The sequence below is a fragment of the Homo sapiens genome, chromosome 20, assembly GCF_000001405.40.
Source record: "Homo sapiens chromosome 20, GRCh38.p14 Primary Assembly".
Classification (NCBI taxonomy): Eukaryota; Metazoa; Chordata; class Mammalia; order Primates; family Hominidae; genus Homo; species Homo sapiens.
In genome coordinates this window covers 42,765,609-42,793,225 of record NC_000020.11, presented here as the reverse complement: position 1 = coordinate 42,793,225, position 27,617 = coordinate 42,765,609, and the positions used below count along the sequence as shown (strand labels likewise).

Below are 27,617 nucleotides of genomic sequence, written 5' to 3'. Positions count from 1 at the left end.
CACAGCTGCACTTGTATCCCTTATATTTACACACAAGTTTTTCTCATTGGTAGGATGGCGAAAACCTGATAGCCACTGGTTCAGGTTTCTCTGTGCTTTTCACCTGGCTACCTTTTGGTACAAACCCACCCAACTATCCTAAGTGGTCATCCCAGTAAGACAACTGTGGCCCTAGGGATCTGGGCACAGTTGGAGGGTGGGTCCATGGCCATCCGCCTGCTCTGCATGGTGGTTCAGGGGAAACATGCAGAAAGTCTAATTTGGCCGTAAGTCCAAGTTACTTTGTGAATAATAACGTGGAGGTTTTGAACTCCTCTCTCTCTGTCTCTCCCTTTCTATCTCTCTCATGTCTGTTTTTAAATTCACTCAGAACCTGAAGGAGACAGGGTTTGATTGGTACCTTCTAGAATCCCAAGAAGTTATGGGTTTCCCAGCACTTATTAACTGGGAGCTGTTAGTCTTTTTGGTATTAGGGTGAAAGAATGAGGTGACTTTTAGCTATTGAAGTAGCTCAACTTGGCTGAGGATAAGTGGTCTTAAGGTTTATTTTTGAATTGAAGATTTTAGTGGTTTTCTAGGTGGAAACTGTCCTTCTAGAATCAACTGAGTTTATCTGCAGTGTTCCATGATGCAGTTTATTTCATAGAATCATAAGACTCTAAGTTCAGCCCTCCCAGTTGCTTGTGAAATTTCCTTAATCATCTCTTTAATTTGTCTAGGCTCTGTTTTGCCACCTGCTTTGGTGGGGACTCACTTTGTCTCTGGCCAGTCCATTCTATTTTGCACCAACTTTACTTGTTAGAAAGTTATTTGTACACTGAACTGAAATTTACCCCCTCATGGTTTCTTTCATGAGTCTGCCCTCCCAGGCAGCTTTATCAATAAGCTATTGTCACAATAAAGCTGCATGACACACTGAAAAGAAACTCACTGGCAAACAACAATAAGCGTTTATTCTAGCTCTCATGGAACTGTGCATTGATTGTAGATTGGCTGATCTAGGTTGGGCTTTTGGGCCATGTGGCTGTGATTCCAGCTGCAGGGGTGGCATGGCTTGGTTCTTTAAGATCAGTTCAAGTCAGGTGTCCTCCATGTGTGTATTCTTGATCCCAAGCTGAAAGGGGCAGCAGCTACTGGGGGCACATCCTTTTCATGAAAGGTAGCAGTAGTGCAAGACGGCAAGCCCAGCAAGGCAAGCACATTTTAACCTTTGCTTGAATCATTCTGTTAGCATCCTATTGACCAAAACAAGTCATATGGTGGAGCCCAAAGTCAAGGGATGGGGACATACCCTCTGTTTCTGCTGGAAGGAACTGCAAAGCCAGTGGCAAGGGACATGGATCCAGGGAGGGATAAAGAATTGGAAACAACCATTTAATTTGTCAAAGCAACTCAAAAGAGGCTCACTTCGTCCTACAAGGAAACTTTTTGAATGCTTGGAGATGTTTTCTGCAAACAGTAATAGTAGCTATGTTTTCTGCAAATAGCAATAGTAGCACGTTGTAGAAATACTTCATACATGTTACCATCTCTTAATTCTTAAAACCACCTTATTGAATAGATTTTTTATACCCAATTACAGAAGAGGATACTCAGGCTCAGAGAGATGTGGCTTTTGCAGGGTCACCCAGACCCTTCTAGAGTGACTTGATCTCTGGCCACTCCTCTGGCCACCATGTTTATGGGTGTGACTGATTTTCAGAAGGATTTTCTTACTTTCTCTTTGTCTCTACTTCCCACCTGCTTTGTGGGTCTCCAGGATCTTTCATGATGGTGAACAGCTCTGGGAGAGCCTCTGGCCAGAAGGCCCACCTTCTCCTGCCAACCCTGAAGGAGAATGACACCCACTGCATCGACTTCCATTACTACTTCTCCAGCCGTGACAGGTCCAGCCCAGGGGCCTTGAACGTCTACGTGAAGGTGAATGGTGGCCCCCAAGGGAACCCTGTGTGGAATGTGTCCGGGGTCGTCACTGAGGGCTGGGTGAAGGCAGAGCTCGCCATCAGCACTTTCTGGCCACATTTCTATCAGGTATGGCATTTTACCATGGTTTTATTTTTGAAAATTTGTAATAAATCTATACACCTTTGCTCTCCCTACAGGTGCTAGGTCTAGAAAGGACTTCATTTATTCACTCGTGTTTACTGTGCTTCTCCTCCTAGCCAAGCTCTGCAGAGGTGACCTAACACAGCCGCTGTCCCACTTGAATTCATCATTTGTAGGAAAAGACTGATATGTAGATAAAATAACAATGTACCAGGATGCATGTGGCTCCTGAAGATGCTAGAGGAACATAGGCATTGATTCCTTTTTATAAAGTCAGTGCTTATGACATGATGAGGGAGGTACTAGTACTAGCCTATTTTATGGATGAAAAGATTGAGGTTCGGAGAGATGAAATAACTCGTAAAAGATCACCCTCTGGGGAATGGGGTGTTTGCTGGGGAAGGCAATTAGGATGGTTTGTAAGAGGAGATGACATCTAAGATGAATCTTGAAGAATGAATACAAATTTATTTTAAAAGGGAGGGAGGGAAAGGCATTTGAGTTGTCACAGACAGTGTGTACAGTGAGCTGCAGGGGTGGATGATAGACTATGGCAGAGTTTGGAAAGTCTAAGTTGTTTAAGGTACATTGCAAAGAGGACAGACAGGGAGATCAGCCTGCAGGGACAAGCAGATCATGGGGGGCTTTGAATGTCAGGCTAATGGATGGAACTTAGTTTAAAGCAGTGCTGCTCATACTGTCCATGGTGAAGGGACACTTCCTCTCAACTCATTGTGGAGCAATACTCTTATAAACCATGGTAAAAAAAAAAAATCATGGCAATGACAGATTGTTGCAACAGTTCCTAAACCTCTCTCTCTTTCCTTCCTTATCTCCTTGCGAACTGATGCACACAGCGCACAGATTGGCACCAATCCATAAAGCATGCTTAGAGGAACATTTCTCCACATTGTCTTGGCCTGGGGCCATTGAAAGTTTTGTTTTTTTTTTTTTTAACAATGTTATTAAGGTAAAATGTACATATCACAGAATCCACCTATTTTAAGTGTGCAATCCCATGACTTAAGAAAACCTATTGAATTGTGCAACCATCATTATAAAGCAGTCCAGAACATGTTCATCATCCTAGTAAGATACACTGTGCTCATTTGCAGTTAATCTCCACTTGCACTGTTGAAAGGTTTTAGGTTAGAGGGTGAGGCAGTCAGATCTGCATTTTGGAGAAATTTCTCTAGCATCTGAAGCAGAAGATGAACCGGTGGCTGGGGGCTTCTTAGACATTCTCCAAGTTAATATCCATGGTACAGTTCTTCCAGATTTTAGTGTTAGGAATACATGTATCTATTGAGATTGCTTGTTGGGTTTACCTTAATGAGGCAATTCAAGCTTTATTTCCCTTTTGCCTTGGTAACGAGAAATCAGAATTTAATACTCAATTACCCTCAATATTTAGACTGGATTTTTGCCATACATATTTCAATTTTATCCTCAATGGCTTGTGATTTCCTTTTAGAATAATGTTATTTTTCTTCATGATGCATTTCCTGAAACTCCTTTCAGAAATAGGGGAGAGGTAGTGATGATGATGGTAATGGTGGTGATGGTGATACCTACCGTTCATTGGGTGTTTATCATGTTCCAGGCACAGTACAAAATGTTTCACATACATTACCTTGTTTAATCTTCACAACAATCCTTTGAGGCAGGTACTACGTACCCATTTTATAGGTGATGAAACGAAGGCTCAGAAATGGTAAGTGATAACCCAAGCTTGAACGGAGGTAGTGCCTTGTTTTTTACCCGTTTTGTTTGATTTCACTGTCTAAGCTAGTATAATCCAGTATAAATATAATGGGAACCACACATGTCATTTATAAACGTTTAGTAGCCACATTAAAAAGTAAAAGGAAATCAGTGAAATTAATTTTAGTAATACATTTTACTTAAACCAACGTATCCAAAATACTATCACTTGGACATGTAATCAATCTAAACAATTATTAGTGAGATGTTTTCTGTTCTCTCCCTGTCAATCTTTATAATTCAGTCTATATTTTACACTTACAGTAAGTCTCAATTTAAATGTTTTATTTTCATTAGTAATAATGATCTGTATTTGGACTCATAAAATGTATAGCTGAAGAAGTGGATACATATACACAAGTTGTTCCAAACATTCTTAAGTGAATTGGGTATCAGTTTTTAAATTAAAATGTAAGGTAACTGAAGTTAAGTAAAATGAGAAGTTCAGTTTCCTAGTCTCATTAGCCACGCTTCAGTAGCTCGTGGTTGTCAAATTAGTACAGATCATAATTCTTAACCACTTGGCTCCACAATTTCCCCTAGTAGAGTTCTTGAAAGGCTTAGCCACGCCTGGAACTTGTGGATGGGGAGATGAAGCGGGGTAACTCCAAGGCTGGGCTCTCAGAAGGGACCTGGCCTTTATGAGGTGCTGGTTCTGCTCATTCTCATCCTCCATTGCTGGAGAATCCCGCAGCTATCTCTTGTAATGCCTTGGTCTGTGTTGAGGGTTTTCTTAAGGTTTTTATTTTGGGGTTCTTTGTCAGGAGACTTAAAGGAGTAAATAATGAGATATAATGGCAATGACTGTCGAACAGCACAGGTGACTCCCGCAATCCTGGAGATCTGCAAGCAGCCTGGGAGATGGACCTAAGTAGCCTTGTTTGGGACCACGTTTCCTTTGCTTTTCCCCCAGCCTCATCTCCTTGGCCTGCCCATGGGTGACCAAGAGCCAGAGGCAGGAAGTAAGGAAAGTTAGGAAGAGAGCAGAAATAAAAGAGGAAGTGAGAAAGAGAAGAAAAGAGAAAAAGAGAGAGTAAATTCTTGGAAGAACTCATCACACCATCATTCAGCCACTCGCTCCCTATTCTCATCTGCTTGTCAGTCATTTTGCATCCTGCGTGAGCCAGGCCAGTTCAGGCATTGGTAACGCAGAGGTGAGTGGGACAGAGCTGGCCTTGGGGTGGTCAGGGTGGACTGTTGTCATTTGGTGTGAGGTTAAGCCCCTGTTCCCTTCTTTACAACAGCAGGAACCTATGAATGAAAGTGGCTAAAAGCAGAGTCCTTTGTTTTTAACACGTGTCACTAACAACGTGACGTGTTGTATCCTAGATGTTTTGAGACAAATTATATATCTTTGGCCTCTTTACTTCGGTGTCTTTTCCTTTTGTGTAATATGTTTTAGTACAAACCTTTATCTGAAACTGATGGTGTCAGATATGTGTCAGAATTCACAATGTTTGGAATTTAGTAATATATTAGTAATATATTGGCATATCTTCTGTATTTTATAACAACCCTGGTAGGCTCTGAGGCAGTACCCTGTAATCAAATGTAATATTTCTACAGCAAAACTTACACACACTCACAAGAAATGGGATAAATAAAGACTGTAAGTAGTATCAGGCCATTCGGCTGTGTTCAGGTTTTACCACCAAATTACTTTTTATAATACTAAGGTGAAGAACGTTGTTTTCAGAGCTTTTGGGGTTTCAGAATTGCATTAAGCATATAGCCTTATATTCTCTACCTGCACAGTTGCGTGAACAAGGGGATCAGATCTTGCTTGTACATTCTGGGAAGAATACCCAGTGTATGATTTGTAGAGTGTGCTCTGTGGAACATGTGTTCCCCGAGATTCTCTGTAGTGAAGGCTGATGTGGTGGAGGTCACAGCATTTTGAAAAAGCTGTGTGATGTATTCGGTTCTAGGAGACTCACAGTTACCCACGTGGGAGTTCTGAGGAGTCAGAAAGAAATCCATTTATTGGTGTTTAACCTCCTGTCTTGCCTCTAAGTTTGATCTTGGCCCTCTTTTTGTTGGATGACCACCTGACTATAGAGATAGTATTCTGCAGACAGGTGGCCCTACATCTCAGTTTGCTGGGACAACCCTGGTTTACTCCCATTATCCTGGTGAAATTAAGAGCATCCATTTCATAGTGTGCCCCAGTTTCAGTGATAAATTATATAGTCTTCCTATCCATAGACATTTACAGAATGCATACTGGCACATGTGGCTTAGGTTTATCCTCATTTTGTAGATAAGGCAAACATTTTCTGTTAAGGGCAGAAAGAAAACATTTTTGTCTTTACAAGCCATACAATTTCTATTGCAATTACTCAATTCTGCCATTGTACCATGAAAGCAGTCATAGATAATATGTAAATGAATGGACCCAGCTGTGTTCCAACAAAACTTTATGTGCAAAAACAGGTGGTGGGCTGGATTTGGCTTCCAGGCCATAGCTGAACCCTGATGTACATGATAAAGCTGATGATGTCCAGAGTTGCATAGTGAAGTCCAAGAACACGTAACAAATTATTGGCAAAGCTGAGAGCAGATCCCAGATACCCTACTCCCTAGACTGTCACCACTGTATCATTGACTGTAGACATAAAGTATCTCTAAAAGCTCATGGGCACGGTCAGTGAGCCTTTAAGGTTTCAATTAGAAACCCCATATATAGGACCAGACACAAATGGGTACAGGATGGGGCCACAGGTTGAAGTACAATGAACAAGAAAATTGACTGAGTACAGGGACAGTCATACCATTTGCCATGCTTTTGGATGAGGCATGGGGGGAAAGGACATTTCTGGAGTACCCCCTATGTTCACACCCTATGAGAGGCATGAGATCTGTGCAGTAGCTCCCTCTATTAGGTGGCAACATGTCCTATCTTCCAGCGTAGGAAGCACTACTGGTAAATTCAAGTCCCCATGATCCATCCCAGGTCCTCTGGCTCTAAGCTCTGCTTTGCCTTTAGGGAAAATAGCTTGCACTTTCTGAGAATCTTCTTCCTAGTTGTGTAATGTTAGCTGTATCCTGTCATCATTCAGAATCACAGTTCCCTCATCTGTAGAATGGAGAGGATATTAGGTATGATAGGACCTTCTGCAGATGAAATTAGAGAACATATATGTATCATCATGTCAGGTATATTAGTCTGTTCTCATACTGCTATAAAGAACTTCCCAAGACTGGGTAATTTATAAAGAAAAGAGGTTTAATTGACTCACACTTCCACATGGCTGGGGAGGCCTCAGGAAACTTACAATCATGGCAGAAAGGGAAGCAGGCACATCTTACATGGTGGAAGGCAAGAGAGAGCCTGTGAAGGAGGAACTGTCAAACACTTATAAAACCATCAGATCTTGTGATAACTCATTCAGTATCACAAGAACAGTATGGGGAAAACCACCCCCATGATCCAATCACCTCCCACCACGTTCGTCTCTCAACATGTAGGGATTATGGGGATTACAATTCAAGATGTGATTTGGGTGGGGACACAGAGCCAAACCATGCCATCAGGCTTGTAGTGGGCCTCAGTGGAAGGAAGGGAGGAAGGGAGGGAGGGAAAAAGGAAAAGAGGGAAAAAGAGACAAAGGGGAAGGAGGAAGGAAGCCTTTTTAAAAGAAATAGCCAGTGTTGTTAAGCCTGTACTCAGTAACCTCCATGCCCTCCCTTGGATAAGTAGCCTCATCTGGGAGAATTTTCTGATTTGCACCTTATTGGCTACTACAGCCTCATTGCATTTCCTTGGCTGAGAGCAGCAGTTTGGAGAGAGATGTTATACACACACCGTCACTAATGGTTACTCACTTGGCCACAAACACTGCAGAGTGCCCACATAGGGACAAGCACCCACAAGACTCTCAGATTCAAAACATACTTGCACATATACACATAAGTACAGTGGCAAGAAAAGGAGGCCTATCAGAAAATCCAATGACACTAGCAAAATGGGTTTTAAAATTCACCAGACCTGGAGCTCTGGTCCTGTACATATGATTCTATGGGCTAAATACAAATTACTGGGCTTCGGAGCTGATGGTTTATGTATTAATTTATTAAAGTCGTATTTTATAGTTCTAAAATTGACTTTTAGCTCTGTAATAAACACTGAAATTTCCTCTTTCTCATTAGTGAGCTTTCTGGCACCAGACTTTTGGCAAGGCCGGGGGTGAGAACCTGCCTCTGCCAGCCATCTCCCGACATGTGCCTTTTCTTGGGAAAGCAGGGGCTTGTTTGTTTATTTACTTTTAATTGACAAATATTAATTGTGTGTATTTAGAGGGTGTAGTGTGATATTTTGATCTATGCATGTGTTATAGAAAGACTTAGTCAAACTAATGAACATATCCATCACCTCACCAACTTAACTTTTTTTGTATAGTGAGAACATTAAAAAAATCTATTCTTTCAGCAATTTTGAAATGCACAATATATTATTATTAAATGTGGTCACCACTCAGTGCTGAATGACTGTTAAGTCACGTGTACTTCAGATCACAGCTCCTTTCTAGGTGATGTTAATTTGATTTCATATTTTCTAATGATTCTGAATTTTCTGTTTCAAGATTTAAAAAAATAAAAGAACTTCTGTTAATTTTGCAGCCATCTGCTTGCCCTAGTCTCCATCACCTGCCTAGGAAAAATTATCTTTTATTTGGTAGTTATTATCGCTATATAGGCCCCTGAAATTAAGGACTCACCCAGCTTTGGTTCAACTGGACTTTAAACTCAGTCCCTTTCCCTGGAAAACGGTGCTATGTGGCACTCTGTAGATTTAGTAAATTCACTCACAATGAAGTGGAGTTTATCACAATGAGGGGCCCACTCTACCACTCTTGGAATTCTATTCCATCTGCTTCCTTACCCATCCCACTTCTCTCCACTAAGCATCAAATCCTCCTCCTTGTCTTATACAGGTCTCCTTGGGCTGATAGGGTAAAAAAAGTCTCTCTTAATTTTACCCTAAACAATCTCTCCCCATGAAAACATGTATATTTATGTTCTAAGAGGAGTTCTGATGTGCCAACATTTTTCTCTTCTCCTGAAAATGTTTGCAGCCCCTTGAAATTTTTGCCATGCAGATTTTCTGCTCAAGAACTATAAAAGATTAGGTTAAAACACCAGGTCTGTTAAACCATGGCCTGACATATCCACACCCTCCTCCAAGTATGAACAAAAACCATTTTTTGGAAGGATGAGCAAGACTCATCTCAGAGCCTCTTGTGGGGAATTGCTTCCTGGCTTTGCACAAGTAGTCATGCACAGGGAGAGGTTTTCACCTTTCCATGCAAGCCTCATCTCTTCAACACCCGCACCAGGAGGTCTCTAATGAAGCCTATGGGCTGGAGCATGTGCAATAGATGGTAGGTCCACATGGCAGCCTTGGAGCTGAAGAGCATCTACAGAGACGTTGGAATTCTCAGCCTGGGCCCTCTGCTCCACTCCCTGTACTCAGGGTCTCGGCCTCCATTTACTGACTTGGAGTGCCACTGGGTATGCATGGCCTGCCTCCTGAAGACATCCCATCCCTACTCCCCTGCCTCCTGAAGACAGGAGGAAAACACTGCACCAGAGTCACCTCTAGACTTCTCTACTCACTCCCCTGGCTCTCCCATTTCCTGACTTTGATTCCTCAAGGGCCGTGGTTGAATTTTCTTGAGAGTGTGCTTGGGTCAGAGATAACCATTCTCCCTCTCCTCAGAACACCTTGGCAGGTCTTTCCATCTCTGAGGGTCCAGGCATCACCTTGTCCCCTTGTGGTGTCTGTCCCTAAAAACTGGAGCTGGCTATCTATTGGGTGGGGCTTCCTATGGCTAGGAGTCTCACGTCAGAAGCATATTGATGGAGTGATCATCTCCCTCCAAGGTTGTAGGTGTCTTCTGGGGCACCTTTTGATCATACTCAGTGTCATTTTACACAATTACATTCATAGATTATTACCATTTTTACTTCCTCTTTTTGTGAATTACCTGTTGAAGTCATTTGCCACTTTTTAATTTGAATGATTTGGGTTTTTTTTTTTGTTGATTCTCAAGAGTCCTTTACACATAAAAAAGGATATTTTCATATTAGCTGACATAGGTATTACAAATATTATTCTCAACCTGTCATTTGACTTTTAATTTTGTTTTAGATTTTTGCTAACATACAAAGCACACTTGACACCATAGTTATTAAGAAAGCATTGTGTAACTTTAAATAAATTGGTTTTTAAGACATTGTCACTAATTTCTAGTTGTAGTGAATTTGGTTAGAAAATGTATAGGCCCAAAGCTAAACAATTTCTTCTTCGAGGGATTTATTGAAGTTATATTGTAGCCTAGTATATGATTTTTTTGCAACTGAGCCATAAGCCTTTGAATGGAAGTTTCATTCTGTCTTTACATTTATTAACATGTATCTAGGAAATACATTATTATTTACATTATATATACTTGCTTTTTCCTATACGATTAGTAGTCAAAGTCTAAGACATAGATTAAAGTCTTCAACCCATGTCTTTTTCATCATTTTCTTCACTTAAGTCCCTTGACTCATGTGTTTTTTCTAAATGACCATTTTAGTCCACCTAATTTTTTCATTGTTCTTTTCAGTTAAAATTCTACTTCAAGGTTTTCACACTATTTTTGCAACAACTGCTTTCTGTTTATTTGCATTTCTTTATTATGTCTTTCTTCAACTTGTTCTTTTTAATGTTGTGCAGTCATTCTGTTTTAGGTGTTTATCTTATAGCATACAATTCAGAGATGTATGACATGGGAAGATTTGAGAAATGCTAATAAGGTAGAATAAAAAGGAAAATGAAGATGAGGGCTGAGGCAGAAGTTGAGGCCCAATAGACACCCTGGTCTCCAGCTTGGGTGACTGAATGGGTCATAGTGCCACTTAACCATATTCCGTATTTCAGAAAGAATAGACTATTGGTCAATGAGGGAAAAGGTTTGAGGAGGAATCTGTGCAGATCTGTTGGATTCACGTCATTGATGTGGTACCTAGGTAGAAATACAGATCTGTGACCTGGACACCTAAGACGGATGTGTGGGTGAAAGGTCTAGGGTGCAGAGCTGGGCTTTGGAGTTATCAGTGCATTGGCAGCTGTTGAAGGGAGAGTGTATGCAGTGAAAAGATGACTAACAGGGGCCCACGTTAGAAGGGAAGATGGAGAAGGAGGAATGCCTACAGACCTCCCAGGCATTGAACAGTGCCAGATTTATGAGAAAAATAACAAGAATAAAGTGTTATCTGAGCCTAAATAGAAAAAAGACCCAGAAATGGAGAGTCTATGAACACTGACAGTTGTAGAAGAATGGTCAAGTTGTGATAATAATTCTAGTAAATATTTCTTGAGAATGTACCATGTGCCATACATTGTTCTAAGTGGGGTCTTAACTCCCTTAATCTAAAAAATCACTCAATGAGGTAGACACTATAATTAAAGATGCAGAAAATGAGGCACAGAGCAGTAACATAACTTTTCCAGGACTACTAACTAGCAAGTGGCACAGCCAGGACTTGAACCTAGGCACTTGGAACAAGAGTTTAAGCACTGTACTATCTTCCTTCTTAAAGTAAGATAAAGATTGAAAATATCTACTTGATTAAGCAATTAGAAGATTATTAGTATCTTCCGTGTAAGCAGTTTTAGGGGAAGTTCCAGATCATATTAGGTTAAAGTTTTGCAGTGGAAAGTCAGGAAGTGTTGGGAGTCAATGAAGATAAAACTGCTGAGAATTTTAAGTGTTACTGAAACACAACTGGATGGTATTAGAGAAAACCTGCTGCTGAAGGGTAGTTTTTAAAGAATAGGAGAAGCTGTTGACATGTCAAAATTAGGGATAAAAGGGAGGGTTTGGAGATATAGGGTAGACAGAGAAAACCAAAAAGAATCCAAAAGATGGAAAATATAGCAAGAGTCCGGGTCAAGAGCGCTGATGTTCCTTGCAAAGAAGAGGCAGGGGATGGTGTGGATGGATATCAAGTCAGTGGGTAAAAAGTTAGAAGTCAGCCCCTCTTTCCCTCTTGCCTCTTGAAGATGTGGGTGTCTGCTGGGATTACATGGGTGCATGTTGAAAGGGCGGCAGTTGTGTAAGGTACAGGATTGGAGAAGGCAAATGTGTTATAGGCTGGGCAAAGTTGAAATAAAGGTGCAAAGGAATGGGGGCTTTAGGAGAGACTCGTATGGAGTCTGAGGAGCTCACATGGTAGCCTGGACCTTCTGCATTAATAATCCAAGGATTAGATAAGAAAAGCAGAGGTCCAGGCTACCACGTGAGCCTGAGGAGCAGGTCAAGAGGAGTCAACTGGGATGAGACTGTCGGTAGAGACTGTGCCGGAGTATGGGAAAATGGAATTTCCAATTTCCAGAAGGTGAAAAATGAGGTGAAAGTGGGGCTAAAGTGGATTGAAGAAGGCCATTGGAACCAGAGAGTTCAAGGATGTTGGCCATGCTATCCACACAGACATTCATATCTCCTTGGTGAAGATAGAGGTTGAGTGATGAGGGAAGCTAAATGCATTACAAAATTTTTATGGAAATAGCAGTTTAGGTGGAAGTCAGTTGCCTTCTACTCCTGGATACCAACAGGTAGATTGCCACTTATTTTTAAGAGTGTTATTATAGATTCAAATGTAATATGTTCCTTGGCAATGTAGAATCAACTCATGGTAAACCCTCCTTGGCTTATGGTAGCTTCCAAGGTAGGCATCTATCTTATCCTTCATAAGAAAGTTGGAATATTAGAAAGTAGTTCTCTGTAGAAGAATGGTCAAGTTGTGGCTTGACCCTTGAAGCTGCAATGAGAAAGATGCAGACTGGGGTTTCCGAGACCTCGGTGTTTGGGTTGTTTTTCCTGCATCTAAGTGTTATTTCTGAAATTTGTTAAAAATATTCTTCTTTTGCTAGCCACCAAAGTGTGGCCTTTTTACCTTGTGTTGAAAATCCCAGTCAATTGCCAGGGTAGCGTGCTGTCTTAACAGAAGGTTTCTTGGGTTGCTTCTGATGGGAAGTTGAAACATAAAGGGCTGGGGGCCGGGCAGCTTCTTGTGATGAATGCCTGCAACTGTTTCTGTGAAATTGACTCCCGCCCTGTGTGTTGCAGGTGATATTTGAATCCGTCTCATTGAAGGGTCATCCTGGCTACATCGCCGTGGACGAGGTCCGGGTCCTTGCTCATCCATGCAGTAAGTCTTTCCCTTCCTCCCAACACAGCCTTGATCCATGCCAGACTGGGTAGCATAGAGCCTGCAATCCCTTCCATTCATTCAGCTTACAAACATCTCTCACTCTCTCTTTCTCTTTGAATCCTTCAGAAATGCTTACATACTCAATGCAATCAGTCCTGAATAAATCCATAATTTTGCCGGCCTGTTCAACAGGCAGCACCTCCAGGAATTTGCAGAGAGTGGCAAAACATCTTTGTTTGAATCTCTCTCCATTATTAAGGGAGTCTAAAGTCCTGATTGTTTATTAGTGGGATTCAGACCACTGAAGTGGTAGAATTAGAGGGCTTTGGATAGAATCTTGTGCAATTGTCTTAAAAAAAAAAAAACACACCACCACCAAAACACTGAGCAAATTAGCACACTGTTCCCTCACAGGGAAAAGTACCCTGAAGTTATTAATTCTTTTAAAATAATTTTAAATATACTCATCAGCTCCATGTAGGCATAGAGATTTCTCATAGTGGTTAGTACTTATGGTACAGCGTCAAGAGTCCTCAAAGGCGTGGCACTCCTCCATACCCATCTACTTCTTTGCCATATTTAGTCTCAGATATTGGAATGTGTTTCAGCAGGGAGATGTGGTTTCTGGATTTACTAAATCTCAGAGGCCATAAGTCCTGGGTACAGGTAGTTGAGATGACATCATACCCAGTGACATTTGGTTGGGGGGACTGAAATCAAACTGATTTGCATGGAGATTATGGCAGACCCTGGGAGGGATACCTGGAATGCCAGCCCCATGAGTTTGTTAGTGTTCTGCAGATTGGAGATTCCCAGTAGTTTCTTGGCAGCCATCCAGTTCTAGGTAACCCCCTGTGGGCTCTCTCCACTCCTCCCATATGGGCATGAGTCATGCTTTGGGCTATGGTGCAGTTTGCTGCTGCCTCAAGAGACATCATGGGTCCTCCTCTCCTTATGTGCTTCTCAATCCTCGCATTTAGGGACTATTCTCATTTCAGCCTCATCCATGTTGCTTTAATTGAAATAACTCTTTCCACTTCTGCTGCAATGAATTTGTCAGACCCTCAAATGTAACTTCCCTCCCTCTGCCTGGCACTAGAATGCCGTTGTCTGACTCATTGTCTTAGAGCCCCTTCTCTGGAGGAATTTGGAACACATTACAAGTTCCGAACATTATTTTGAGAAATTGTGTTTGGATCCTGTGCAGGAGAGACCCTCTTTCCCAAGAAGCAACTGGTATCTTGGGAATGCTGAGATGCTACTGGGCTCTTCTTTGCACTGGCTGAAAGTCCCTACCCTCTGGGTTACTTCCTGAGGCTTTTAGAATTTCTCAGATGGGTCTGTCATTCAGTCATGCCTGGGGAAATGTTTCTATTGACCCAGACTTCATGTGAAGAGGATCCCAGAAATCCCCCCAGCTATGCAGGGTTTATGTAGTAGATATGCATATGAATCTCCTTCACTAGGGTGAAATATTCCCCACCCTGGACTCGTGGGAGTCACCATCAGCTGCTCATTTGAGAATGAGCCTAAGACTGGGCAACTGTGTTGGGAGATGTCTGTGCTACCTGTGGTCCATTTAATTGCATGCGCTCAATCTTGCACTACCTCCAGTTTCGAGGTAGTCTCTCTGAAACATGCCTTCTGTCTTCCTCATTCCCTGCCTACATCCCATCCACTCAGAGCGTGCTTGCCTCTGCCACATCTACCTGTGTTCCTGCTTCTTACTTTGTGCTGGATGCTTGGACTTTAGCTTTCTAGTAGGTGACAGCTGGCTTTTCCCAAGGGAAAATAGCATGAGTCTCTCTACCTGGATCCCAGAACTTTGTGCTCTAATGGGAATTTTCATCTCCGTCCTGATGCCCAACCTTGACACCTGTCTCTTACCCTAGCCGTAACTACCTTCAAGGCCAGAGTGGTAAAAGCTCTGCCTTACCTCCAAGCACTGACCATGGTTTGCTGTCACAAGCAAATGCATCCTTTTTCTTTGATAAATCTCCATGGGAGAGGGCTCTTTGGAGGGCACTGGAATGACTTTCCACCCCCCAAAGTCTCATGAATCCTTTTGAAATTCTCGTTTCACTGGGGTTGCTCCTGAAGTCAGGATTCTCCTGACAACCTCATCCTCCTCCTGCAGAGGGGTGTGGGTGGCATGGTCATGAAATTGCTGAAAGCCAGTTACCCAGCAAATGGACCATGGGATATAACTCAGGAAGGCGTGATCCTGGCTTTATGTCTGCATAATGTGCTCCTGTTGGGTTCAACCTCAGTGTTGAGGCAGCTTAAGCATAAACTTCCCAGAAAGCATGATGTGAAGACCCCATAGGAGTGGCTGGAATTGGAAAAAATTTCACTTAACTATATGGACAAATACTGGCAATGTATATAATGCCTGAGGTATATCCACAGCTCACGAATCATGTGGAGTTGAGTAGGGCCTAGCAAAGTCCCTTTCCTAAGGACCAGTGCTCAGTCCATACCTAGCCCAGGTTTTTATTCTTTCTTTCAGCAAGTAAATTATTGTACATCAGCTATGTGTTAAGAACTTTCCTAGGCACAGTGATACTTAAGTGACTAAGAAAGGTTCGGTCCTTGTACTCATGGTGTTTGATTAGCAGAAGAGCCAGTGGAAAGAAAGGCACTAAATCAGTAACTAATATTAAGTAACCAGAAATTTCAGATAGTGAAAATAATAGTGGATATAGTAAGTGTCGGTGTCTGGGATACGGGAGGGCTGCTTGGATATAGTGGTCAGAGGAGATATCTTTGAAAATGTGACCTGGGCTGGGACTCAAATCACAGGAGGGAGTTCACAGTCTAGTGATTTGGTGGAGGGGTGCTTCAGACAGAGGAGATAGTGGTTGCAGAGGCCCTGCACACGGAGTTGGCTTGATGCTGCCAGCATGTCCTGAGCATACAGGGCACAGGAGAAGGTGGTCAGGGCAAATGTTGGGCAGGAAAGCCTGGACTTTGGGCAGCATCGTGAGTAGTTTAAATGTTTGTCTAAGGGCAGGGAGGCTCTGCTGCAGGGAGTGCTGCTGGAGAAGGGTCACTTGGGCTGCTCTGTGTTGGAGGACCATAGAGAAGATGTCGGGAGACCTAGGAGGAAGAAAGTTCTGGAGCCATGCAAGAGGTGGTGGTGGCCCGCACCAGGGTGACTGAGAGACATCCATTCATCATCCAACAAGTATTTACTGAGCGTGAGCTCCATGTCAGGCACCATTCTGGGTTTGTGGGAGTGAGAAAGACAGATTGACTGTCTGTCTTCATGGACTTCTATTGAAGTGAAGGAGGCTGAAGCAAAACAAATAAAGTAATTATATGATTATATTATTATAATCTATATATTATATAATTGTACAAGCATTATATAGAAGTATATATTATATAAATGTGAGTTATAGTATATAAATAATTATATAATCATATAATTTACATTTATATATCATATATACATTTATAATTATATAAGCATATCATATATAATTATATGATATGCTTATATAATTATATGATATGATTATATAATTATATGCACAGACAGTGCGTTAGTTTGCTAAAGCTGCTATAACAAAACCCCTCAGACTGGATGGCTTAAGCAACTTAAATGTATTTTATTTTCTCACAGTTCTGGAGGCTGGCAGTTCAAGGTCAAGGTGTTGGCCACCGTAGTTTCTCCTGAGGCTCTTTCTTTGCTTGCAGGTGGCTGCCTTCTTGCTGAGGCTTCACATGGTCATTCCTCTGTACTTACAATCCTTTGGTGTCTCCCGGTGCATTCAAATGTCCTCCTCTGTTGAGAATACTGGTCAGATTGGATTGGATTAGGGCTTTCCCTAAAGGCCTCATTTTAATTTAATCATGTCTTTAAAGGCCCTGCTGCTAAAAATAGGAACATTTGAGATACTGGGGGTTGGGGTCATATATCAAAAGATAAATCTGGGGGAGACACAGTTCAGACCATGACAAATTATGAGCAGGACAATGAAGAAACTTAGAGCATAGAGGTGGATAGAGGTGCAGAGATTAGCGATCCATTTAGGAGGCAGAGCCAACTGGTCTCATTTGATAAATTGGATTAAGAGTCAGGCATCGGAGATAGTGCACTCACAGATTTGTAGCTTAAGCAAGGTGGTGAGAGCCTGGGAAGAACTGAGCAGGCTGCCTGGTGAGGGGCCCTGTGGGCCCCAGGGACTGCTTACAGGGATTACCTGTCATGCAAGTGGATAGTAGCTTCTGAACTCTCCTTTAGACTAAAGGTGCTTTTCCCCAGCCTCCAGTCTTAGAATTTATGACTTCACTCATAGATGGTTAAAAATTGAACTATATTGAAATATATGCGTTCAATTCAAAAAAGCCTGTGGACATAAAGTCTTTTTAATTATCCCTTTCTGTCCTCTAAAACATATTTTCTATTAACATATGGTCAGAGTTTATCAATAAGTGATTCCACTAAGTATTCCAAAAGTTCCAGGGAGCGAGTGACTGATTTGCAATTGTATCTTCAATTGATTGGCACTGAAATTAGAACTGTAGATAATTGCCTCCAAGCTCCCAAAACAGTAACCAAAAGACAGGCATAATACTCAAAGAAATTATTTTCTCTTACAAACGGAAGCCTCTCATCTATATTTTATAGCCCATTTAACATTTTTGTGTTATTCTAAAAGTATTCTATCCTTAGTTACCCTCTGTTGCTGTTTCTCAGTGTTAGCCATTAGCAGGGCCAAGGCAGTTATAACTGTGTAAGATAAATGTCAGTATGATTTTTCCACTCCGTTTCAAAGTTTCTAGCTTCTAAGTTGACTTTTCTTTCTCCCTCACAATCTTGTGGGGCCGTGTCCCCGAGCCCACAGAGCATCTGCAACATGTTTCTAATGTGCGTACTGGGCTTTCTCCACAATTGTGTGGCTTCCTACTGAGCACTGTCAGGTTTAAAGAGCAAGATAAAGGGCACAATAATATGTCTTCAGATGCTGCACTGACATCTGTAGGCGTCTAAATGTCACTAACGTCAAGGCATTTTTGCCCCAAATGCACAGCCAGTCTTCTGTTAAGCCCATTCAGTGGCATCCCATCTGGGGGGAATTGGGTCTCAGTGTGGAGTGAGTAGGAAATGCTTAGAACCACGAGCCGATGGCTGACCTGGGTACCAAGGTCAACCATGTTTGGCTGAAGATGAGTGATTTGAAGCTCGTGGAATATAAGTTCTCTCCCAGAGCAGCAGATGCTGGGGGAAGGTGACAGTTGAGAGAGCTTGCGGCTGATGAGCAGGCCGTTTGGGGGCATGGAAAAAGGAGGGTCAGAGAGGCCAGGAACGCAGGGAAGAGGACCATACAGGCCCCCCACATAAGCACAATCACCAGAGAGCACTGCCTGTCATGAGCCAAGGATGACCCAGAGCCCCAAGGAGCAGAGACAAGGGTCTTGAGCAAGAAGAGGGTAGCCTAGATCAGCTCCTGTGCTGGGAACTGTACTCGGGGTTGGCCTTCATGTGATGCCCACCGCGTACCGCATGGAGTGGTGGGGGCATCCCTGAATGTATGGGGCTGGATCGGGTGAGACTGGCTAGTGGAAATTGTTGCAGAGGACTTTCATAAGAGCTACATATCAGGGACCGCAGATTGATAGAGCCTGCATGTACACATGTTTTGTTAAGCCTGTACTGTGTTTTAATAACATGTTGAGTTTAGAGTGAGAGATTTCATATAAAGTCTGGATTTCTTACTGGCCTGGAGAAATCAGACGTTTGACACCCCTATACAAAGCATGCATGCCTGGCCTTCCTCTGCTGAATTTAAGTAGGAGCTGCCCCCTTTCAGTGTCCCCTTTCAGAGTCTCTCTCCAGTTCCCTCCAGTCCTCACCACTCCTTATTGTCTCCTCAGTGCTGAGGCTACTGGTGGATACCAGTTATTGTGCTTACAACATTGCTTTTCTTATATAAAGAAATCTTTATTTTTCTCAAGTCTCTATCAAAAGTGGGAAAGTAAAAGATGGGGCAAGGAGGTGGTATTTTTGTTTTGTTTTACAGCTGAACGACTTTATTAATTTACATAACTGGCTCTTGTAGGTGCATGCGTTCATTATCTCTGCTGTAAATTGCCAGTATTTCCCCAGAATATTCACACTAGGAGCCATTAAACATCTAAACTCTCTACCACTGAACCTAGAAGGAAGGGAAGAAGAGGAATTGAAGATGAAAGAATCAAGGCAAAAGGTCTGTTGCTGAGAAGGAAGAAGTGGAGAGGAGTCAGAGGCATGCTGGGGACATTGATCCAGAAAAGATTCATTGCTAATTGTGCATATCCCAGAGGTTAAACCATTTTCTCGAAGGGTAAGGGAAGAGCATTTCTTTGTAAAACTAAACACAGAGTTTCCCAGCATTGGAGCTAAGACTCTGCACTCCCTCCCCACCTGGGGTGGATGTGTTCACTCCCCCTTTAAGCCTGTGGCATGAACAGGCTTCCAAGGTTCACTCTATTCCCATTTTAAGAATTGATTTGAACTGATAGTTCCAAAAATAACTTCATAAAATTATACAGGAGAGCCAAAAGGAAACAATTTCAGACAATCAGAGCAGCATGGCATTTGTCAAGTTGACTAGATGCAGGAATTTTCAACTCTGAAAAGCCCATAGAGGTGGTTTTCCCCGGGCCTTGGGTCCTTGACACCACACCAGCCATGGTGGCTCAAAGGTAGCCTGAGGGGTCTCTGAGCTGCTGTCATTAGTTTAAAAACCTGAGTAAAAGTACATTGGGGAAATGGGGATACTGCCCACTTCCTGGATTTTTTGGGGGTTTCAGTGAGATATGACGTGTAAAGTCCTACAAACAGTGTCAGACTCATCATAAGCGATCAATGAACTCTTCACTGTGCCAGGCCACTTCTCAAGCACCAATTCCACGCTGCCCAGTGCTCTCCCAACAAGTCTGCCTAATTGTTCCAAGATTCTTGGCTTTTGCTGAGCTTTATAGGTGCTGACACAGATTGGTAGACAAAATAGTTCAAATCAAGGAAAAATAGCATGGAAAGGGGTCACTTTTAATAAAATATTTGGGAGCATGGACAGAAACCTGAACCATCAGCACAGCCCTGACTGGGAGCCCCTTCTGCAGACCCTGGAGTCTATCTGGAGACACCATCCTCATTCCCAGTGCCCAGGAGGCAAGGGAGCATAGCTGCTTGTTACATGCTGAGTTTGGGGCTAAAGTGGACCTGGATTGAATTTTGTTTCTGTCTTTCACTAGCGCTGTGTAGCTTTCAGCACATTAAACTTGCTGAGCCTTGATTTCTGCCTAACAGGGAAATCATAATAGTGTCTGCTTTATAGGAATGTCATGAAGTTAAATTAGATAGAGCATGCAAAGCATTTATCATAGTACCTGGCATTGTAGGAGCTCTCAGTAAATGACATTATTGTTACTATTTGTCTCTCTGTGTATTTGACTCCTTGTAGAAAGATGGCCAAAGCCTCCTGTTAAACCTCCTTGATCCTCTCCTAACCCTCCATTTGTTTCCATTCTGGGGGTGATCCCAGTTCATCACTGATTTGATTGATGGCATAGAGATCCTTCATTGTGCCTCAATGAAGAAACCAATTCTTCTAGATACAATTTATCAGCCAATGGAGAGCTGTTACTGTTGTTATTATTTGTAGAGTGCAGGTAGGTGAGGACCCTTCTCCACAAAAAAGGAAAGAGATGAAACCAGGTTACCCAATATAAAACATAGACTTAATCCGAAGATTGTCTGCTCATACACACCCTGATTTTCATTTGAAAGACCCTTTCCCTGTTATGTCCAGTCCCTAGAATCAACGCTCCCCCTCATGCTCAGAAAGCACCATCACAGAGTAAGACTCTGGGGTCTTGTGATATTGGGCACGTTTCTAGAGTTCTCTGTGCCTCAGTTCATTCACTGTGTAATAGAGAAAATAACACTACTGACTGCATTGGGTTAAGTGAGTTACTGCAGAGAGACACTGCATGTGGTACTTATCAAATGGCAAGCGCTAAGAATGACAGCTACTAGTGCTTTCCTTCCCTTTTCCTCCCTCTTCCGCTCTTTGTCTTCCTCATCATCTTCCTCATCAACATCGTCACCCAGGCCAAGTGTGCAGGTATCAGGCCCAAAGGTGCTTCACTTCAGCTTTCTTATTTTGCTTCTTCAGGCTACAGGGAAGCATCACCTATGGTGAATACACCCCTCCTGCCCCCCAATTTTTCTTTTAACTTTCAGTGTCGTAGTTTCACCTTTTGTGCAATGCCAACCCCAGAAGCAATGATCAGTTTGGGTGTATTCTAGGCATGTTTGTGCCAATTTCACAGAGCACAGATCTAAATTCACGTCCTGGTTCCCTCCCCCTCTGGATATGTGTCTGTGCCAAATGATGACGTAAACCCTCAGAGCCTTAATTTTCTGATCTGTGAAATGGGGATACTGCCCACTTCATGGATTTCTGTGAGGTTTCAGTGAGATTCTGCGTGTAAAGTTCGAACAGTGCCAGACTTATAATAAGTGATCAATGAAATCTTGACTGAGCCGGGCTACTTCTTAAGTGCCAGTTCCACCCTGCCCAGTGCCCATCCTGAGCTGCCATCCACCAATAGGGAAGTGGTGCAGGCTGTCGAATCTCATTCTCTTGTGTTCTTTGGTTTCTCTCTTAGGAAAAGCACCTCATTTTCTGCGACTCCAAAACGTGGAGGTGAATGTGGGGCAGAATGCCACATTTCAGTGCATTGCTGGTGGGAAGTGGTCTCAGCATGACAAGCTTTGGCTCCAGGTAAGCATGAGAGAAGCCTCTGCTCAGACTCGTTAGGATGAGAAAGGGAAAAGAAGGACTGGAAGGAAGCAGCTCTATGGCAACACAAGTGTATTGAACAAAGACATGCAGAGGGGGACAACAGCTAGCACCGGAGCCCACCCTTGCTTACAAACTGGGGTAATTATAGGTCCAGGCGGGAGAGGTCTGGGCTTGTGAGATGGGGTGGGTGGTGTGGTCAGTCGCTGGTAAGTGAGGAGTTTCCTGGGGTCAGATGGTTAGGCCTGGGACTTGTCTGGCGGGATGTGTCTCATGGCCCAAACCCCTGCGGAATTTTCTGCTCTAACCAGCATTTGCAAAATGGTGTGAGTTTACGAAATGGGGCAGCTTGGGCTAACGATGCTGTCTTATCCCTTGATAAGGGAAGAAAGTGTGTGCTATGATGAATGGTTTGGTGTGTACAGGGAAGGGAGATTTTTAAAGTACTTCTGTTCCTCTGATGGTGCCCTGCATCTATGATCTTGTTAAATCTTAACTACGATTCTGCTAGTCAGGCATTGGTATAACCATTTTATACATGCAGAAACCCAGACCAAAACCTAAAAGTTCCAGAACTAGAATTTGTAACTATGACCTTTTCCAACTACCCTCTAACAAACTTTGTCTTTTAATTGCAGATTACTAGGGCTGAGGCAAATGGAATAGCTTAGGTTCTTGGTACGTGGTTGTCATGTAATCTTAACTGGAAGGTTCTTGGATATCCAGTGATTCACTGGTACTTCTGGGTAAAATTAGAGAGTCGCTTTTTATGGGAATTTTTCACTAAAATGAGCAATCTGTCTATTCTTTGGTTAAATAAGTCCGTTAGTAAAGTCCATCAGGGAAGTGTTTGAAGCTTGAATTTGCCTTCCTGTTATTTCTGCTTGTTCATCCCACTTTCCAAGAAAGATGAGAAAGGATCTCTTTGAGTGGGGGTTAGGACAGAGGGCGACACATAGAACTAAAACGTAACTTGTTATAACATTAGCATACTTCCATTAATACTAGCACAAATAGCAAGTTTTTGGGGCAGCACAGAAGTTGGAGCCATGCTGTTCAGTGCAGGAACCACTAACTACATGTGGCTGTGGTGATTTGACATGAAAATAATTATTTCTATAGAAAAATTAGCTGGGCGTGGTGGCGAGTGCCTGTAATCCCAGCTACTTGGGAGGCTGAGGCAGGAGAATCACTTGAACCCAGGAGGCGGAGGTTGCAGTGAACTGAGATCGCACCACTGCCCTCCAGCCTGGGCAACCAGATTGAAACTCCTTCTCAAAAAATTATTTCTAACTAGCTTTATTGAGGTATAATTGAGATGTGATGTTTAAAGTATATAATTTGATAAGTTTTGTATGTTTACATGTGAAACTATTACCACAATCAAGATATTGAATATTTGCATGGCGTCCAAAGTTCCGTCCCCATGTGTAATCACTTCCTTCTGACTTCCCCACTCCCGTTTGTCACAAGCAACCGCCAATCTGCTTTCTGACAGTATGTATTAGCTTATATGTTCTAGAATTTTATATAAATGGAAGCATGCGGTATGTACCCTTCTTTCCTACAGAATTATTCTAAGGATTACTTATGTTGTTGTGTGTAACAGTATTTCTTACTTTTGCTAAGAAATATTTCATAGAATGGATATACTACTATTTGTTTATCCATCTACCTGTTGATGGATACCTGTTGGGTTGTTGGCAGTTTCTGGCTATTACAAAGAAGTTGCTGGGAGCCTGCATGTGTGAGTCTTCGTAGAGACGTATTCTTTCATTTCTCTTGGGTATGAAAGTGAATTAGAAGTGGAATGGCAGGGTCATCTGGTAGATATATGTTTAACTTTAAAGAACAACGAGCTGTTTGAAAAAATGGTTGTACCATTTTACATTCCTACCAGCAGTCTATGAAAGTTCTAGTTGCTCCATATCCTCACCAGCACTCAGTATGGTCAGTCTTTTTAATTTTAGCATTTCAATAGGTGTGTAATGGGAGCACGTTATAGTTTTAATTTACATTTCTTAGAGGACTGATGATACTGAACATATTTTCATGTGTTCCTTTGCCTAGCTGTCTCTCCACACACTTTCTTGGAAGTTCATGTTGTCACTTCTTTTCTTGAATTTAAGCCATTTCCTGTGGTTAGAAAAATCCTTGGGCATAAAGAGCCCATCTAGGGACCAACAGTTCTTCCTTGCCACTTAGCAGCAAGCAGAGTGCAAATAGCAGCACAGCAGCGTGAAATACCTGTTCTTTCTGCTTCCCAGGGTTGCTTACAGACCACAGGAGAGCATAAGAAACCTCCACGTCACCTCAGTATTCGGTAGAGTTATTTACTCTTTTCATTACGATTAGTGTTCAAGTGTATTAGGCTGCCAAGAAGCTGTGTGATTTCAATGGCATTGCCTCAGCTGGGTCATGAGAATGAGGCAGGACCATCACAATATTTTCAGCAACTTTGTTTGGGTTTTCCAATTATTTTATGATCGTTATTGTGGCAGTTCTTAGTTGCATGCCCTGAACCTTGGGTTTGTCAGTGGGAGGATGTTAAAGAGATCATAACTGAATATTTGAAGAAAACAGATGGAAACACATGACATGGAGCTCTTCCACATCTTATCTCCTTTTCAATGTAAACCAAATCTTATTTCACAAAACGTCTTCCAGGTGGCTTTCAATGGGACATAAAACATGACAAGATATCATAAATTAAAAGTGGGACAACACCAGATAGAAGGAGAAAATACACAGAGCTGGTAATAATGCGAAAACCGCATTTCTGCACACGTTACTAACTGGTGGGTCACACACAGAGCCCGCAGCTTTGTAGCCACTAGTGGAATAAAGGAAACTTGTCAGATACACAGTTCACAATGTCTGTGAGATAAACAAAAACCAATTGCTCAGGAAAATTCTACCTGTTGTTCACACAGAAGCCAGACAGGAATTGTTCCCAGGAGTCCCTGTGAAGAAAACACTGTATGATGCAATGAACAATGTTCCCCACCACAGTCTTACTGAGGGCACACAAGTGAGTTTCACAGGCCTGTTTCACATCATGATGGCTGTGAGAAAGCAGTCTGGGGAGGAGAAGGGGGAGAGAGGGGTGAAGTGGGCAAGAGGCTATGGCAGAGTCCCCTGCTCTCTGCCAATCTGTCTCCATCCTGGGGCACTTGAAACGTATCTGGTAAGTGAATAGATTCAGTAACTATTTTTTCAAGGAAACTTCCCTAAATATTGTCTGTCTCATCTGCATTTCAGAAAATATTGGGAGGTACACAGTTTATATCGTGCCATCTGACAAATGCCTGTGTGGCTAGTTAAATCCAGGCTTATGTGCAATCAGGTAATTGGAAGTAGGCTGTATTAGTCAGGGTTCTCCAGAGAAGCAGTGTGTGTGTGTGTGTGTGTGTGTGTGTGTGTGTGTGTGTGTGTGTGTATAATTTTATATATTTTCATATATAATATATAGTATGTTATAATATATATCATGTAACATAATTATATGTAATTATATGTTATCCTAAGTTATGTATAATTATATGTTATACATATAACAAATTATGTTATTATATGTTATATAACATATATAATATATAAAAATATATAATTATATGTAATATATTTATGTTTAAAATATATGTATATATAAATATATAATCTTTATATAGCACTCATTAAAGAAAATATATATTTTATAAAATATATATTATAAAAATTTATTAAATATATTAAGGAAAATATTTATATGTAAGTATATATTAATATATATTTGTGTATATATAGTTTTTTTAATAAGTGTTTCCTTATAGATGTAAACACTTCCATCCATAGTAAGTCTTTTCCTTCCATATATAATATGTCCTTCCTATATGGAAGGAAAGGACTTAGTACAGGAATTGGCTCATGTGACTGTGGAAACTGAGAAGTCTCATGATCTGCCATCTGCGAGCTGGAGATCCAGGAATGGCAGTGGTGTAATTCTAGTCCAAGTTCAGGAGAAGACCACTGTTCCAACTCAAGCAGTCAGGGAGGAGGCAAAGGGGCAAACTCTTCTTCCCCTGCTTTTCTGTTCTATTCTTCCAAAGATTGGATGGTGCCCATTCACGCTGGGGAGGGCCATGCACTTTACTGAGTCCACTGATTCAAATGCTCATCTCATCCAGACACCCTCACAGACACACCCAGACATACTGTTTAATTTGGGTACTCTGTTACAGTCAAGTTGACTCATAAAATTAACCATCACATAGGTTAACATCTTTCTACAAAAAGAAGGCACCTATCAACACACCTGCCACCCCAGAGAGGATCGCAGCCACCATCCAAGACAGGCCAAGGCAGTGGCCAGTTTCTCCTGAGATGTTTCTTCAGATGTGTCCAAGCAGTAGAGGAGTGGCTGGCACTCTCGCTGTTGTTCTGCCTCATATAATAAGGTTGGGGTGACTTAGCCTGAGAATTTCCAAAGCAAATGAAACAGGCCCATCATGGCCAAAAGAGTCTCTATAAGACAGCTACAGCAGGTCTACTGTGTAGCAGTGCTACTTCCTGCTGTAGCTTCTGAGATATGCTGAGGAATTTCACTAAGTCACTGAAAGTGGTAACTTCTCAACTCGGCCAGTTGTAATTCAGGGAAATAAAGATGTTGTTTCCAGCATAGCAGGTATGTCGGTGGCCCTTCTTTCTGGCAGTGGTTAGAAAGGAGCCAGTGGATTCATAGTTTGAGATAAATCCCTGTTGCCTGTGTGGTGAAATGCTGGCCCTCTTTTCTGTAGAGTGGGACTTTATAGCTTGCTTTTCCTTAAGTGGTTTTGGATCATAAATTAATAAGTTAAAAGGAGGACCAGCCAATGCCCCTGTTTTGCACCCCTCTGGAAACTTTATATGTCTTTAGAAGATCCCATCTGCCGGTGCTGGCTTTTGTGGAATTACAGTACAAGTTCTACATGAGAGTCAATGGACAGGACCGATGCAGAAATGCAAACACATGAGCCTAGAACAATTGTAGTGAATCAGGGAAAAGGATGATAGAAGGCTAGTAAAAAATTATAAGCAGGTTCTTCTTGTCCTGGGATCATTTCTCCTTGAGGTGAAGTGTATGATGCCGTGGTCTGTGGTGGAAGGGGCTCAGTCATAACTTGCTTATTCCTTATGTGATACTTTGGCCTGAGGAATCCAGACATGTAACTTTGCAAGCAATTTTTCAAGCAAGGAGATGGTGTGCATTCCAAGGGGAATAGCCACTAAACAAAGTGGTCTACAGTTTTGTGGAGTCCATTTAAAAAATGACATTCAGGATACAACTAGGTGGGGCTATACCAACATAATTATAAGTGTAGCACAGAGCAAATATAAATGTGTACATCTTTTCTGCAAGATAATTAGGCAGTTGATATCCAAAGCCTTAAATATGCATATTTTTCCAATGAGTAAATTTACTTATGGAAATTTACCTAAGGAAATATCTAGAGATGGGGACAAAAATGTATCTGCAATTGTGTTCAGTAGGACAAAAGGCTGGAAAGAACCTAAATTTTCAGCAAAAGAGACTGATTAAGTAAATGAGGGAATGGTATCATTAAATATCAGATTTTAGAAGTATATTTAACATTTTCATAACATGTAAGTGAAAAGGATGAGTTATAGAGTCATATAATATTAAGCTTTATGAAAAAATATATACACATATACATGCTCATGTACATAATATATAAATATATATAATCTGTATATACATATGTATATACATAGACACTCCTATAACTCCATGAAATACATATTAAGACACTTGATTGTAATAATAGATTA

General features: G+C 41.9%; 1 protein-coding gene across 11 annotated transcripts in view; it reads left to right on the top strand.

Annotated features, from left to right (window-relative positions):
- PTPRT (protein tyrosine phosphatase receptor type T) overlaps window positions 1-27,617 on the top strand; it is a 1,158,017-nt gene that overhangs the window by 396,681 nt on the left and 733,719 nt on the right. For all 11 annotated transcript variants that reach the window (XM_047439848.1, NM_001394024.1, NM_007050.6 and 8 more), the window contains exons 3-5: window positions 1,760-2,031; window positions 12,927-13,008; window positions 21,676-21,791. In XM_047439848.1, coding sequence (XP_047295804.1) covers window positions 1,760-2,031; window positions 12,927-13,008; window positions 21,676-21,791 — 470 coding nt within the window. The remainder of the gene's footprint in view (window positions 1-1,759; window positions 2,032-12,926; window positions 13,009-21,675; window positions 21,792-27,617) is intronic.